Raw genomic sequence first — 17,342 nt, forward strand, 5'->3', positions numbered from 1 at the left:
CATATATCCCCCTCCTTTCCATTCCTAAACTTAATCTAGGAAAACACAGGAATGTTTCTGACTTCCCAATCATTGAGTCCTGAATTATTTTCTATAGACTTCTTCCAGAGGAAACTCAACTTCTTCCTCCTACTTATCTAAACTCTGACAACCAAGTATGTATTAAAAGGAGATCCCCTAAGTATTCTAATTAACAAGTAGCACAACTATTTTTTAAAATATGTGTATATTGCAAAATAAAATAAATCAAGTATCCTGATATAAATAAAGGCTTTTTGATGCAGGAATATGTAAGCCATCCCTCATGCAAATATTAGCTACAGGCCATAATTTAGACACCCATTATGACTTTAAACTGCTAAAAGCTGCTCTTCTGTAATATGTTTGCCTTATTTATTAATGTAAATCTTACCTAAATGAGAGATTTTAGTTACCAGTTTTAAAAGTAAAAATTACATAATTAATATTATGAGATGATTCTTTATAGTAATCACGACCAGATTTTTTTAATGAGAATAATCACATCGTATACATTAATACTTAGTACCTTGTAATATTTGCTTAAAGTAGCCATTGACTACAATGATGGGAAGACTTAAATGGGTTTTTCCCTCCGCCAAACTCCTCTTCTAGATAACTTTAATGAGTGAGGCAATCAGAGTGCTGAATTCTCAATAATACCTATTACCTAACATCATCATAAATTTAACAATACGGTGATATCTTGCTTATTGAATAATCTGGTAACAATATCCCTCTTAGAGAAGAGTTTTCAAAGGTCTTTTTATCAGTTCCTTGGCTGATAACAATGTGGCACTCACTGGCGCTCTCTGAGGTGGTGATCTTTGAGTAGTTGATCCAGGTCTTCTGTGAGACTTTTGGTTATTTTTTCCTCTGGTATTGATACTACAGAAAATGACCAAAGCATCTGGGATACATCTTTGTTTTTAGAGCCATTAATATAAGAACAATTCCTATTTGTATGTTACTCCACATTGTATGTAAGTAGTAACAGGGCCTTTTTTTTTTTTTTTTTTTCTTTGAGACGGAGTCTCACTGTGTCACCCAGGCTGGAGTGCAGTGGCACGATCTCAGCTCAATGCAAGCTCCGCCTCCTGGGTTCACGCCATTCTCCTGCCTCAGGCTTCCGAGTAGCTGGGACTACAGGCGCCCGCCACCACGCCTGGCTAATTTTTTGTATTTTTGATAGATACGGGGTTTCACCATGTTAGCCAGGATGGTCTCGATCTTCTGACCTTGTGATCTGAACAGGGCCGTTTATATAAGATGTGCTCCAGAGGATACCCTAAATTTAAGTGTATTGTATTCAGAAAAATGGGATAATTGTAATGTCAAATAATGATCATGCAGCATAAAATATCTTGTACTTAGTTTAAAAATTAATAATCTATTCTTAATTTTTTGTTATTTCTTACTCCTTAGCCAGACAACGCAGTTAAAATATTTTGATTTAAGTACACATTTTAAAATAATATGAAAGTAAAACATATTTACATATATAACACATACGATGCACAAACATACACACACAGATACACAGGGATAGAGGAGACGGAATTGTGTATATATGCACATATGAAGTTTATATAACAATAATGTTACCTTTAATTTAGTGTATTTTTGAATTTATGGAAACTTCCAATTTTATTACTTCATTTAGTTTTTACAACATAATCCACACTGGATTATGCCTTTATTAGATATTTACTAGAATCAGGAAGATTGAATTACATGTCTAAGGTGACAGAGCTAGGAAGTGGCAAAACTTATCCCTTCTGGTCTTCTGATTCTCCACACATAAATGCTCATAACACCACACACGCATACACACAACTACCTATGTAAGAACACACACAATTTGAACTATAACATTTAATGTCCTATGTTTTTCTCTATCTTAATAGATATATAGAGAATTTAAAGCAACCCTAGCCTGCCTAAGTAATGTGCCCCTGGGGCCATTTGCTACAAGTGATTTTTTTTAATAGTCTATTTACTATCACTTAGCTTTTTAGAGTTCAGATGTACTTATGGAATAAGAAAAATGGATTAAGGGATGGTGGCTTAAGATGAACATGCCAAAATAATTGTATAAAAAAAGAATTACCTTAATAACTGATGTCTCAACTCTGGATGGGGGACTCTGAACTTGTGCTGCTGCTGCCATATTTGCAATGGTGCTGAGGTGGTTCATCTGGCTCATTGCCATGGTGACAGATGCTGGAGGTAGGCTGACAGGAATTAGAGGGTGGGGCATCATCATAAAAGGAAGTTCCAGTCCTATAAAAAATGCACATATATCATCATTGCTCTGGAGGACATAAATCATTAAAAATTGAAACAGTCAAAAGTTTTCTAATAATGGTAGTCAAAGAAACAATATTTTTCCTCTTCATATGCAAAAATTTCACTTACTACTCAGGGAAACCAGGCTTACAGCTATCTGGTTTGGTGCCCTGGTTTATCATTTCCTAACTTATCCTGTGTTTAATACAAATGGTCAATTCTTTGCTATATTATTCCTATAATCAGTCTGAATCTTGCTTAAAATACTAGGGTTTTCTTTAACTTATCCCAATTAGCTATGTAAATATAGTATATCTCTTTATTATGTCCTATTTTGCCAACTGATAAATACAATTTAAAAAAAACTATGATTTTTAATACTAAAGAATGCCATCGTACCATTTGGCAGAAGGTGGCTCTGCTGAAGATGGTTGAGAGGATGACTAAGTGGAAGGCTACGTGCTCCAGGCATGCGGGGGTGGGTTATAGAGGCCTGAGGTCCCTGGGATGGGGAAGAGGGCAGTGTTTCCTTATCCCAGGAACCATCACTGCTGCCTGTGGGGAATGAATATAAATTACTTGGATATAATATTATTCCAAATCTTCCAATGACTAACTTAAAATGAGTTTTTTAAAAAATGTATCACATTTGGAGTTGGAAAACTGATTTCTAGGGAAATAAGCCGAGGTAAGTAAATTTCCCCTAAGCTGCACATTCTTTTTGATTTTCTATTTCTTGTATAGGATCTCAAAATTAAAAAAATATATATTCCGGCAACATTTAACCTAGTGGTGGAGTCTAATACTGTTCGGCTATCCAGCTTAATATGAAATGGTCTCTATTATATTAACCAGATAATTAATTACTCCTTGGAACTGAAACACACTAATATTTATAGAATGCAAAGTTATTCTTGCATGAAATGACATCCTAGCCATCACATAAAGTGCCTAACTTCATTACACAGCAAATCCAAAAAATGAAGCCATTAAACGTCCAGCTTGGTTAGACATTGTACAGAGAACACAAAAGATCACTTTATAGAATATAATGCCAAAGCAAAAATTAAATATGCATGCATGTGTGTGTGAATAAATACATCACTTGTTTTCAAATAAAGAGAAACATACATTATGTCTCCATGTCAATGCCACTCAACTGAGGGCTTGCATTTCAATATTGGTAGCAATGCCTTAGATTTAAAAAGATCATGAAATACCTTATTAGAACACTCCTTGGAAGGTGTTTATAAATCATTTCAATTTAGATGTGCTCCCAAATTAAATTAATTTAACATTAATTTATTCCTTAACTGAATCTGTTGAAAATACAAACTATCCACTTAGAGGAAATTTCTGTAATATCCCTATCAGCTCATGACTTTTTTATTTCTTAAAAAAAGAAACCATATTTTCATATAATATGCATAGAAACAACAAAGTTGGTAAAACTCCAATTTAATGCTTTAGCTCTGCTAAAAGCCTCATTGTAAAATCTCTACGACATAGTTTTTAATGAAGAATACTTAGTTACTGCCATGATTTTTTTCCATTTACTTCATGAAGACAGTTAAGGTTCAATATAAATTCAAACTAATTAGCTCAATACTGTCTGGATCTTAGAGTAAAGTGTTCAGAAGTGGGTAATGAAAACTCAATTCAAATTCTTCAGCAATCAAACAAAGCAATTTTATTAAACAATGAAAAGAATCAATTAAAATGGATATCTTTATTATCTTTATTATTTTACAAGAAACCATGACAGCTTTTGGTTTAAAAAAAAGTTTATAGCTTCATACAGAAATGACTTACATAAAAGAAATTTCTCCAGCTTGCTCCTACACTGTGATATAAAAGTTCTTTTCATATTCACAAATTTATACACCTTACTTCTGTTCTCATAACTTTTTTGACACTTATCCCTAGGTACTAGTCAAACACGCAAGCACTATAAATAGATGAATTTTTCAAATGTATGATATCAAGAGATTATGATTATAACACATTTTAAACATCTGCTCTTTACATTGCCTTTATCAAAGTACATGCAATTTTTTTATTATAGGCTTAATTCACAAAATCTGTGGGATTTGATTTGGTCAAATGTTATGATTCAGCATTGATTTTACCTTGTATGTTATCAGTTAAAACTGACTATCGGGATATAGAAATCATGCTTTGGAATAAATATTATTTTAATATAGAAATTGCCCTGGAAATTTAGAAATAATAAGTAATTTTCTCTATATTTTATACTTCATTTAAAATCTTCAACAAATGTAACGATTACATTTTCATAGTAGAGTGCATATTTGAAGATAATTAACTAAAATATGGAGTGGAAAAATATACATTCATTATTTTGGATTCAGTTTGAGCTCCATTTACAGCTATAATCTACTTTTTTCTGTTCACTTAAACTAATTTCCTCTTTTATTGAAGTCCTTACTGCCACGATAAATAAATAAATGGGAAATAGTTATTTCTGCAAATATATTTAAATTTCACTCATATCAGTAGAGATGCACAATAACTCTATTTTTCACATTATTAAGGTACAAAATATTATCTTAAAATTCTGATTAAATCACTCTGAAAACTACAGATAAAACACTACCCATTTTCACATCTGTTTTTGCGTCACAGATATCAGTCCCTTGTGCACAGGTAAATATCAAGCATTCATATGTGAATTTTCTCTAGTAAGTTTCTAATACTATATTAGATTTTCTCACTACATAGAATGCTTCTAGCCATCTCCGCCAATCATCATTTGTTAAATACTCATGATGTTAGCTCATTTGGGTAATAAATAGAGCAAACAATTAAGAAACTAAGTCTGATGAAAAATATACAATATGTAACCAAGTCAGCTGTAAGTGATTTTTGCATTATTTATAACATCCTTTTCCTCTATTAGCATGAATAAATAAGAATTGAAAATAGGCCACTTCAGAACAAGACCTGCCCACAGTTATTAAGTGCATATTTTCACAATTTTATTTTAAGCCAATATATTAGCACGATATAAACCAGTATATATGCACTATGCTTAACACACAAACATATATACACACATAAATACCTTTAAAATTCATATTTACTATTAAGACTGCAAGAAACAGCAGCAGATTCAATATATAAGAAATTTCTAACATTTGGCAGGGGAAGACAGAAACAGAAAAAACTGACTTAACTGCTATTAAGAATATACTAATAACTACATATTTAAATATATGGAATTTATATATAAAGAGTGACTGTGTGTGTTTAGATTTTCTTCTGTGTAAAAGATGGGACAAGCAAGGTTATTTCAAGATTTAGTGTAACTAAAATTCAAATATGTAAGGAGTAGGTGTGGGAGGTCCTCTCCCCGCTTAGTGCCTCCCCATTACAACATTAAAACAAAGCTTCTGAAAAATAAGTTTGATGCAATGTCTTAGTCTTCATGGGCTCAGACTATTTTCCTTGGCTCACCCTCACTTGATATTTTTATTGCATTTTATGATACATCTTTTAAGATGGACCAGGTTTTAAATGCAGAAATATATCCCTAAATTGTGAAAGCCATCTCTACTCTAAGGGCACCAGATTATTGAATAGTCAGAAATGATGGGTTACAAATATAAAATGGTTTTCGTTTTCCTCTAATTACTGCCTTCAAAAAAGCTTTGTCAAGGTTCCCTATTCTGTCCCTTAAGAGCCTTGAGCAGATTTTGAGTATAATAAATCCACTCTAGTTAACTGTCATCTCTGCTTCCCCATCCCCACTAGCATTAGCCATTTCTAGAGTCTAGGTATCTAGAAGACAGAAGCTAGCTCAGCTTTTCAACCATCCTGTCTTCCTCTTCTCCTTCTTCTGGGTAATAAGATAAATGTCTCTTGCTTAAATGGTTCCTGCTTAAATTTCCCCTGCACCACAACTTCTGTGGCTACTCCTTTAGGCCATTGACATCTTCCAAGTGGTAAAGGCCTAAATCTAAACATTTCCATGGTGGTAATGTCTGATCCTTCAAGGGAATCCTTACTGAGGAACTTCCTAACTGCACAAGTCCCTCACAGTAGACTCTCCTCCAGCTTCATGATCGTCTAAGCTCCTTAAACTCCCATTGCCTCTTGATACTAAGGTCCTCCTGCTGGTGTAAGTCCTCTTGTTCTGATGCCCACTTTCTCCAGCCTGCTCCCTTCTCCTCAGTTCTTTACCACCACCTCCAACCCCTGCTCCCAATCAGCAGTTCACACTTAAGCAGAAATCTAGCTACCAAACGAGGTGGAAACATCCGCAATCCTTGAGTAATTCTGTTGGAATTTTCCTCCCTTGACCTTCTCAGTGAGGAAGCATGCCCAAAGAGGAATTACTAAACCACAGCCATACCTGTCAGTTGCTGTCCTTTCACTAGAATGATCTCTTCAAATCCCATTTTATAAATGAGTGTTCATAAATGAGTGTGGTCCATTCTTAGAAAGGAAGAAGGTGGTTGTTCATGGAGTCTGGAGTGATAGTTAAGACAGCAATGCTGATTCAGTTGCTATAATAAGCACAATTGTTTTTTACTTTCTTTAAAATGAGGGGTACCTGACACCTTTTGTTCTTGTTGGAGACCACAGGAAAAATTGTATTTAATATCCTGTTACATAAACATACACAAGAAAATGAATAACAAATATGGCTATATTATAAATCAAATTTTAGTAACTGGTTCTTGTAAATAAACTGAAATAAAGGGAAAGAATAAACAGAAATAAAGGGAAGCACAATTTTTAGGTAGGAAAGGGAATGAAAAATGTTTTGGACAAAGATATTCTTAGTTTCTCTACTAAAAACACAATAACAATTTTGAGTGTGTGTACGCACGGCACCAATTATAGTCTTAGTCCAAATAATTATACATATTCATGTATTTGTTCATTTCATTCCTAAATATATCCAACGAGAAACAGGTTCCCAAAGAGAAGTCCACAGTATTTCTATGCATTTTAGATAGAAGACACATAAAATAAACACAAAACTAAAGTGATCTGTAAAATATAAATGCCTTTTAAATTACTTGCATTAAAATAGTAAAAATATATTTGACTACTGTATTACTATCATTTATACCTAGGTGACATGTAACTATTTGTTAAGATTTTCCCACAGGCTGACCCTGATAAAGGAGGCAAATCGCAAAGGGACTAACGGTCACACCACTGCTTATTGAGTGACACTGATAGATTGTGACGGGAACCTGACATTGTCAAGATTTGTTTACAATGAAAATGACGGCAAGAGCAGGCATTTACTCCATACCATTGGAGACCACTTAGAAAGACGTCAACTCCATCTTAACAACGAAAACAAAACTTCTAAATAAAAGTAAATATTAGTCACAGGTGCTACAGATGTTCAGCTGTTACTTCAGAGGTAGGTGAGAGAATAAACAAGTTATTATCTTTTAGTGGATTAAGTTCACTCTATTAAAAAAATGATATAAAACGTCAGCAGTAATGCTACTATTTTGCATGAGTTGCGGAAACAGTCCTTTCATGAAAGTTATTGTAATATAGTCTTTAGGTATTCTTTTGAATAACTATTTAATCCCAGTTGATCTACTTTAGGATATAAAAACACTGAAATCTCCTGATGCTTTGGTTTGACTTTATCACACTACTAAAATGAGAAAAGAAGAAATCTTCTAGGGATATAATTAATTAGGGACACAGTTTAAAATGTTCCTGTTTTAAGTGTAGTGGTTTAGCAAAGAAAATGCCACAAGTGCCTCCTAACTGGTATTGCAAAATAATGTCCGCAGAGTAGGTCAGCACATTTATCATGTTTGATTTGGAGGTTCTGGGTAAAAAAAGAACTGGTTGTCTTTCATGTAACCAATTCTGCTTGGCTTAATATTCTTACATCAATTTATTTTTTTCTTGAGAGAAAAATAATGTTGTTATAAATTCTAACTGCCCCATTACCTATAAATATATCATTTAGGAAAATATGTTACTTTCCCATAAATAATTAGATATTTTTCTTTAGTTATCTATCACTAACTAAATCTTACCCTGTGTTACTGGAATGTCAGATATAGTTAATTAGGAATGTGAAACTCTTGCCATACCAGGGGACTTTTATCTTACCTATGATGTTTTCTTTTGAATGCAGAGCTGTTTTGATATATTTATTTTGTATGCATTGTTTATAACATAATACTGATGCTATTAGTGTTCTTGGACTCATCAAAACTTTGTTAATTCTAAATTTCTTCACCTACTTAAGATATTGGTATTGCCCTATATACTCCACAATGGTGCTGAAAGTAACAATAAGTGAAGTTGTACAAAGCACACACAAATTAATGGAAACTAGAACTGCTTATTTTTAAATTTTGGCTGAATATTCTTTACTACGGCCAATGATTATTGAACTAAAGAGAACGGGAAACAAACCGTAAAATCAGATCTGATATCCAAGTGACTAATGTAAGATGAAACGATACTTAATGAACAGGCAGACATTACTAAAAACAATGGCTTCTTTATCCTGAGAAACTGGATAATTATGAAAAACAAAAATAGCATTAGGAAGCTGAAAATAGACAATGGTTTCAATTTTAAATAGCTTTCATTTTGGAACTCATAAAATTTATTTAAATGAATTTCTATATATAAATAACAATGCTTCATGTATTTTTCCTTATGTCGTAGTAAATTTCAGAAAGTTTTGATGCAACTCAAACTAAAAGAAGTAGGGTCATAATTATAAAGATAAAAGGTAAAATACTATATGTGCAGAAGAGAGAGATAACTATATCAGAAAACACTGGTTTTTTGATGCCATTGTTTTCTTTGGACTCATTAGCACCATGCTGTAAGTGTTAACCAGGGAAAATAGATCCACACACCAAGGTAAAACAAAGAAATGCAGACTGGGTAAATAGTTACATAGATTTTTGTATAAGAAAAAATTAGTAGCCAGATTGATTTGTATTGACTACATATTTGGGTGTCTTGTAAATACAGACTATAAGCTGATTGTAAGCAAGAGCCAAATGTTGCTAGTCAGTGGAAATGAGACTGAAAAAAGCTGGTTAATTTCTACAACTTAAGTATAATTTGATTACAGATAAAGGACAATGTAGAAATGACCACACAATGTTCATACACACTTTGCTATCTAAAACTTATTCATACAGTTCTTCAAAATAAAGCAGTTTGGTATAAAGTATCTATGCTAATTTTGCTTTCCATCTTTTAGCCTTTCTTATTGCCATGTTAATGAATTTCTACTTTTTCTAACTTTACCTCACCATACTATTCTTCTGTTAGGTAAACCAATGAACTAGAAATTCTTTCTCTAAGGATATTGTAATTTCCCTATGGATTTATAATCACATTAAATAAAATGGTGAGTTATATTTTATAGATTGTTAGTGGGGTAATCAATGTCAAAGTATATATTATTAATGTTTTTATGCTCATGTACAAATGTTGCCCATGGCAAGGTGAAATAAGTTTTAATTTTCATGGTTTTATACAATGTTATCAGTTTTCAATTATTTGTGTTGAAATTGAAAACATTTTTCCCACTTGAGGAAAATTGCTATTGAATTTTCCAAAAAGCATAAAACCTTCACAAGTGAGATGGTATGTTTTGGCAATTGTCTTGATATTTTATATGTATGGATTTAAGTATTAATTTATCTCCTTCCTAAACCTGGTTAGCCTCAAAGAAGGACATCACCGGCGAGTTTTATAAGCCAGGAACCTAGGAATCCACTTTATCTGCTCATCTCTTCCTGTGCACCAGCAGCGCCCAACTCCTTTTTCATGTCCTATTGATTTCATCTCTATTATTCATCTCTATTTTGTCTGTTTTTACCTCAGCTGCTGTAATCAAATTTAGGACCACTACTTTTAATTACAAATCTTACACTGTCACTCCCCTGATTAGGGGTCTTCATTTTTTTCCCATTGTTATTAAGAAAAATATTTTAAAAGTTTGTCTTAATGTAAGTTCCACGTGGTCAAGCCTGTGTCTTTTTTTTTTTTTCTCTCATCATTGTATCCACAGAAATAAATAAGGTAAGACTAACTTTCAATCAGTTTTTGAGCTGAGAGCTTCAAATCCAGACCAATTCTCACATTTACATCTGGTAAGTATCATTGTGGCAATAAAAGCGTTCAGATACAGCCTTTGTTATGGAGCAGCTTATGATATGCAGGAGAGGCACATGCACATATAATAACATGTATTTGCCTAATTATTATTGTTATTATTATTTTTTATACAGAATCTCACTATTACCCAGGCTGGAGAGCAGTGGTGCAATCTCAGCTCACTGCAACCTCTGCCTCCTGGGTTCAAGCGATTCTTCTGCCCAGCCTCCAGAGTAGCGAGACTACAGCACACGCCACCATGCCCAGCTAATTTTTGCATTTTAGTAGAGACGGGCTTTCACAATGCCAGGCTGGTCTCGAAGTCCTGACCTCGTGATCTGCCGCCTCGTCTTCCCAAAGTGCTGGGATAATGGGCATGAGCCACCGCGCCCAGCCCTAATTATTATTCTTAACTGTAATTAAAGATAGAGAAGATAAAGAATGGTAATATGTTTAACATTTTGGAAATAAGCTTAATGGAACTTAGTAACTATTGAGATATAAATGGAGATAAAGTGAGTAAAATATGAAAGATGAATTCAGCATCTAGATTAACAATTGTTGTATAGTGGCATTATTAAGGAGGCAATAATGATGATGATAGCATCTAGTATATATCATGTACTTAAAATGTGTTGGGCATTTTGTTAAGCTTTTATATTCATTATCCTAACTCTGAATTCACAATCCAAGCTTTTTATCACCCATATAAAGATCAGATTTTACGATAAATAAAATTCAGTTCAATATTGGACTGGTTGAATATGAGATGTTTCGGTAATAGTCATGCAGAGATTGACAACAGGGAATTATAAATATGGGACTGAAATTTGGAAGAAAAGGAGATGCCCAGTGAGGAAGATTTGGAAGTCATTAATTTGTACATAGTAGATTAAGCCATGATGCTTTAAGCAGATATGGAAAGAATAAAGGTATTGCTACCAAAAGTGTATTTCTACTATAAACCATAGAATAAGTCTCAAATAAACCAAATTGCATAATGTTTTAATCCTGAAGAGCTGAGCAAGAATAAGCAAATATTGGTATGTGACTCCTATAGTTTAATACAAGTTACACAGATTATAATAAATTCTTAGCACAAATGATTGTATTAATGCATTTTTATAATATTCAAGTTTCTCCACTTACTTCTAAGCTAAAATATTCTTTTTAATAAGATAATCAATACGAATACATGAATGCCTGACATATCTTAGGCCCTCAATTAACAATGAATGAATGCACATTATGATTGAATTTAAAGATTTAACAATCCTAACTACTATTTAAGGTAGACAGCCTAAAGAAAGACAAAACCAAATAGACACAACTAAGAATAATTTCAAAATGTGCCATTAGTCCAACTTGTAATATGATAATCAGTTAGGATATCCAGTAATTACAAAGTTCATCTTAAAAACATGGAGATGGCTGCCTTTAAATAGAGGTACTGCATATAACAGAAAAGAATTCAGCATATTTGAAGGACCATTGAAATAATATTATATTATAGGGTAGATTACATGCAGATGGCAGACTTGTTGAAAGCTACTGTTTATATGAAACCAAATCATTCTGACCATAGCTTCTATTATACATAGTAAAGACATTCTATTCGAAGCACTTTTCATCAGTTTTTCATAGGCATTCAGAAGAGGAGGTTTTCAAGGTCAAAAGGACCAATAAAATTTTGGCTGCTGGCAATGGAAAGAATACTTAGGATCAGCAGCAATACAGATAATTTTATTTTTACCTTTATACTCCAATTTGGGGAAAATACAAGCACTCATTTTTATCCCAAGAATAAATGGTTATAAAACTCTTCTGTAGATTGCCATGACAATGAGAGTTAGAATAAGAAAGAGGGTTAAAAACTATGTTTCTAAATAAGGATTTATTTTCTCAAAATATCAATCTTCATAGGCAAATATAAAGTAAAATTTAAACATTTTTATTCTTTTTATTTTAAAAATGATCTAATTTAATTATTGTAACCATAATGTGACCAATGAAGAATATAAGGGGGTATGAACCTAGGTAAAGTTACACAATGATTCAATGTCTGACTCGAGTGCTAAACACAGGTTTAAGTTTAGAAAAGACAACAACTCAGGATGGCATTTAGCTAAATCAGTCACATTCATTTTTGTTTCTTTTTTGCAAAAATTTTTCCCAACATCAATATTAAGAAGGTACATGCCTTGGTAAAAAATAAATAATGAATGATGAAATATGGCATCTTTTCTAAAATGGTCAAAGAAATAGGATTTTTTAAAATCCTCAACTTACAAAAATAACATGTATTCAAATTATCGTTATCTAGAAATAATAGTAATAAAGCTACTGAATTTTAAATACTTTCAGTGTGAGAGAAATCTACCTATTAAAAATAAGTATCTCCATGGTCAGGCACAGTGGCTTACATCTGTAATCCCAGCACTTTGGGAGGCAGAGGTAGGCAGATCACCTGAACTCAGGAGTTCAAGCCCAGCCTGGGCAACATGGGGAAACCGTCTCTACAAAAAATACAAAAATTAGCCGGACATGGTGGTATACATCTGTAGTCCCAGCTACTTGGGAGGCAGGAGCGTTGCTTGAGCCTGGGAGGCAGAGGCTGCAGTGAGCCATGACCATGCCGCTGCATTCCAGCCTGGGTGACTGAGCAAGACCCTGTCTCAAATAATAATAAGAATCATCATCATCCAGGGGGCCTTTAATTAACAATGAATCGTTATCTGATTCTAAAAAATATTCTCCATTGTAAAATACTTACTATAATCTGTTATTTTCTTTGTAATCTCAAACTGTCTTAAATAATTTTAATATTTCCTCCAATGTTAAAATATTGCACACTTCCTACTTTTTGCCTGTTCTACCACACACATTCTCTCACATCATTACATCAGAGAATATTAAGATCATCATATACAGATGCTCTCATTTAGATAAGCCTGGCCTAAGACTTGAGGTCGCCTGGGTAAATGCACCTTGTTAAACTTACAACAAATGTTGCTCTTAATTAAAATAACTTATATGAAACAACCACTTAAGACTTCAGCTACTAGACTAAAACAAAATTTTTCAAAACGAATTAAATACCTAAGGACTTCCTTTAGTTAAAATGATCTGTGTAAAAACTGTTTTCTTCTTTGATTTTGAAATTTTGCTCTGTGAGCTTCCTATGAAGAGTTGCTTTTCAGAAAGAAACATCTGGAGTATACTTTACGCTTAGTGTAAGTATCTTTAAGCCATTTCACAAGAAACATAATTGTGTTATGGACATACCAATAAACAATAATGGAAAGACGACTTGTCTTTTAATACTTGTGTGTGCAAATTACTATGATGGGTGTTTTAAATATATTTATCCATTTTAAATCTAATTAACTCACAAAAGTATTAAGACTTTAAGAATAGAACTTGGCTTAATTTTTGAACTGTGTCAAATCTCTACTGAACTGTTTGAACTATTGAAACAGTTCTCTACTGAACTGTTGAAAAAATATTTCAAAAAAAATATTTTTTGAAAATCATTTAATTATGTGCATTTATTCAGGTTAATATTAATAAAATTTTAAATTTTAGATGAGAAATAAGATGGCTTTGAAAAACAATTTATGTTCTTATTTATGCCAAAATTAAGTTAACCCTGCATATTGGAAATCTTAGGGAGGCAAGACAACAGAAACGATCAGACTAAGATTATTATGCAGTCATATAAACTAGCAAACAAAGAAATAGAGCAGAAAACATAATTTAAATATATATATATATCCAGCATGCTATGGTGTACAGGCCAAGGAGCAAGAAATTGCATTTAAACTTTGTAATACAACCTACAGTTTATTTTTCTGTATATATTTGAATCATAGAATATTAGAGAACAAAATAGACATTGAAATCATTTGTTCATTCATTTTTTTAGCATATACCGAACATCTATTTTGTGCCAGGCACTGTTGTAAGTACTGGGGAGATAGCAATGGACAAAGCAGATGAAACTTTATATCCTCATGGAGTTTATATTAAAACTACAGGGAGGTTGAAAAAATAAACAAATAAATAAAGTAATATTATATGCCAATTATGGAAGGATGAAAAAGAATTTTCTCATGTGCATGTGTGTATTTGAGCACATGTAAGCATGTGTGTTGGAAAAAAAATATATTTCAAAATGATGCAATAAGGTAAAGACTTTGCTGAGGATGGCACCATAAAGTCTAATACCCTCATTTTACAGCAAAGGAAGCTGAGGTTCAGAGTGATTAAATTAAGTGCTTAAGGTCGCACAGCCTTTTGGAAAAAGAGCTGAATTTGGAAGATGTTTGCAGGCCTTTTGGCCCCATGTCCTCTCCACGGCACAACAGCACACACCCAGTTCAGAGAGTTGCCTGGGCCATGCAGTGAGGCGAAGACATACATAAACGGTGCGTCTGGATGACAGCTGGGTACCTCAATTGACTAGAGGAGAGAACACATATTAGGAAAGTCTGAGAAGTCAGAAGGAATTAGGTAGGCTAGGACCAGATTATGAAAGTTCTCAGATGTCAGGATGATGAGTTTGGTCATCATCTTAGGCAGAGGAGAGATATGATTAAAGTGATGTATCAGATAGTCAGAAGGAGGAGAAGAAACTCATCATCAGGAATAATCATCCTGAGTTCTGTCATCCACCACATTGACATTGATATGACCAGGGCAGGATTCCTGAATCTCATATTTCATGCCACTGGAAAATTGATAAAATAGAAAAAAAAATCTTGTGTTCTCTATCATTAGAGTTTTCTAAGAAGATGACTGAAGAACAAATTGGCTTTCAGAGCCAGCCATGACAAAACAATTATGTTGGGTGAGGACAAGTGGTTACTGCATACTCTACTCCATATCTAAACCTACTGGCTGTAGTTCCTTTTATACTGCAGTTAATATTTTTTTAATTAAGAAAAAACTATCTGTATCATGTTTGGAAGGTTTCACATACAGGGATATAATTTACCCTTTCTTGACAGGGGGTACCAGCTCACCAATAACTGAGTCAACAATGTGGAGTTCTTATTAGAAAAGCAAGAGGGTACTTGGTAGATTCAGGTTAACAGATAACTTTTAGACCCTCCCTGAGTGACACAGTTGGAGATGCTAAAAAGGGAATATTCCTCCCAAATTCAGGATTAAATAGTAAGGTTTATGAAATGTAACAAGGTTGCTTCAATCTTTTTTAAAGAAAAATTAAATCTGGGGAATATGCTTTAATATTGCAATTTCTATTGGTGCAAAGTGTATATCACACGGCACTTCAAATAACTGTTATTAAACAGAATATTATACACATCAGCAGATAGGAAAACAGTGTAATACTCTGACATTGAAACAGTATTACACACTATTTATTACTATTCTTCACTATTCACAATTCTTATATTCACCAGCTTTCTTCAATACTGACCTCTCAAAAATGACAATATATAATATATCGTGTAGGCAATAATTTCCAAAAGATACCACAATAATTTATATCTAATACTATAGGGAATTGCATACCTAAAAATATATACATGCAGAAAGTACTTATTATCTTCAGCCTGAAAAAATCAAATAGCATGATGAGCCTTCATTCTGCCCAGGAAGAGTTTTCTCTTCCTCATCAAAGCCATCAAATCATCATATTATTATAGGTTTCTCACATGTAAAATAATACCCAATGTGATTATTTTCATTTGTATGAGTTGTCCCTTCACATTATATCACTTACTTTAATGATTTTTGTTTTAATAGCCCAAAGTTTTTCGGTTAAATTTCTATTTTTATCTGGAAAGCTTAAAACCTGGTACAATTTAACATGCTAAAATAAAGTTTCAAGCAGGTCGCTACACATAGACTGCTTTTAAAAATTCAAAAAAGCCCCAATAGCAAATGTCATTTCTTTCCATAGTTACAAAATGCAAACTCCAAGTGTTTTATCCTAATGAATAAATGAGTTTGTCCTTTATGTATAAAATATAGTTTGTGTTTGTTGCACAAGTTTTTAATAATAGATGAATTTTAGGTTTGCTCCAACGTATTCAATAAAGTGTGATTAATTTGGTTTTTCAAAAATGCAAACTAGACATTACTATATTACTTTGCAAAATGCACAGCTTGCAACATTATTGTCTCAGTGGGATCTTAAATTGAATTGTAAAATGTGTCTTATTTCCAGTTTGATTTATGTAAGAGACAGCAGTGGATAATGCCCCTTTTGAAGTTTCACTGCTTTGTGTGACCAAACAACAGAAAACTAAAATTCATGATATAGTTTGTTAAAACCTCAAACAAACTTATACGTTATATAATATTTGACTGAAATAAAAACTTATGATGGACTTGGAATACCACATCTTCAGTGAAACAACTTTTTGAAGTTTCTTATTATGATGGATTATACAACACATTTTTGACATTTTCTGTGATTTTTTATGATATTTCAAGTAATTACCAAATCATGTTTTACTCTAAGAAAGCTTTTCTGTGCCCTGAGAATTAATCTATGATACCATTTAACTTGGCTTTTTGAAGTAAATATCACCAGATAAAAGCCAGCTGGATCTGAATAATAGGATACTTGAATGAATGTATTAGTGTTTGAAAAAGAGAGTACAAATCTTCTAAAAAGATTAATTTCCATAAAAAAGATAGCTCCCAGATCTACAAAAGAATAAATTCAAAAACATAATAAACTCTCAGAAAGAAAGGTAGATTAAAGTAAAAGCTGCAGCACCTTGTTACTGCAGCTGTTGTGTAGCAATGATTCTGTATCAATTACATTCGGTTGGTCCTGTAGGGCTCTTCAAAGCTTTCTGTGAAAAGCCTGAATGTGGAATACATGTGACACCGTAAGTAATAACTTTAGCGATTAATTT

General features: G+C 32.9%; 1 protein-coding gene across 6 annotated transcripts in view; it reads right to left on the bottom strand.

The window, feature by feature from the left end:
- DACH1 (dachshund family transcription factor 1) overlaps positions 1–17,342 on the bottom strand; it is a 429,239-nt gene that overhangs the window by 132,746 nt on the left and 279,151 nt on the right. For 3 of the 6 annotated variants that reach the window (NM_001366712.1, XM_017020396.2, XM_011534940.3), the window contains 2 exons: positions 2,707–2,862; positions 2,129–2,301 (listed from right to left, as the gene is read on the bottom strand). The exons of 2 other annotated variants lie outside the window; for them this stretch is intronic. In NM_001366712.1, the coding sequence (NP_001353641.1) occupies positions 2,129–2,301; positions 2,707–2,862 (329 nt within the window). The remainder of the gene's footprint in view (positions 1–2,128; positions 2,302–2,706; positions 2,863–17,342) is intronic. One more of the 6 variants, NM_080759.6, reaches the window with a different exon arrangement.

Source organism: Homo sapiens, chromosome 13 (genome assembly GCF_000001405.40).
Source record: "Homo sapiens chromosome 13, GRCh38.p14 Primary Assembly".
Lineage (NCBI taxonomy): Eukaryota > Metazoa > Chordata > Mammalia > Primates > Hominidae > Homo > Homo sapiens.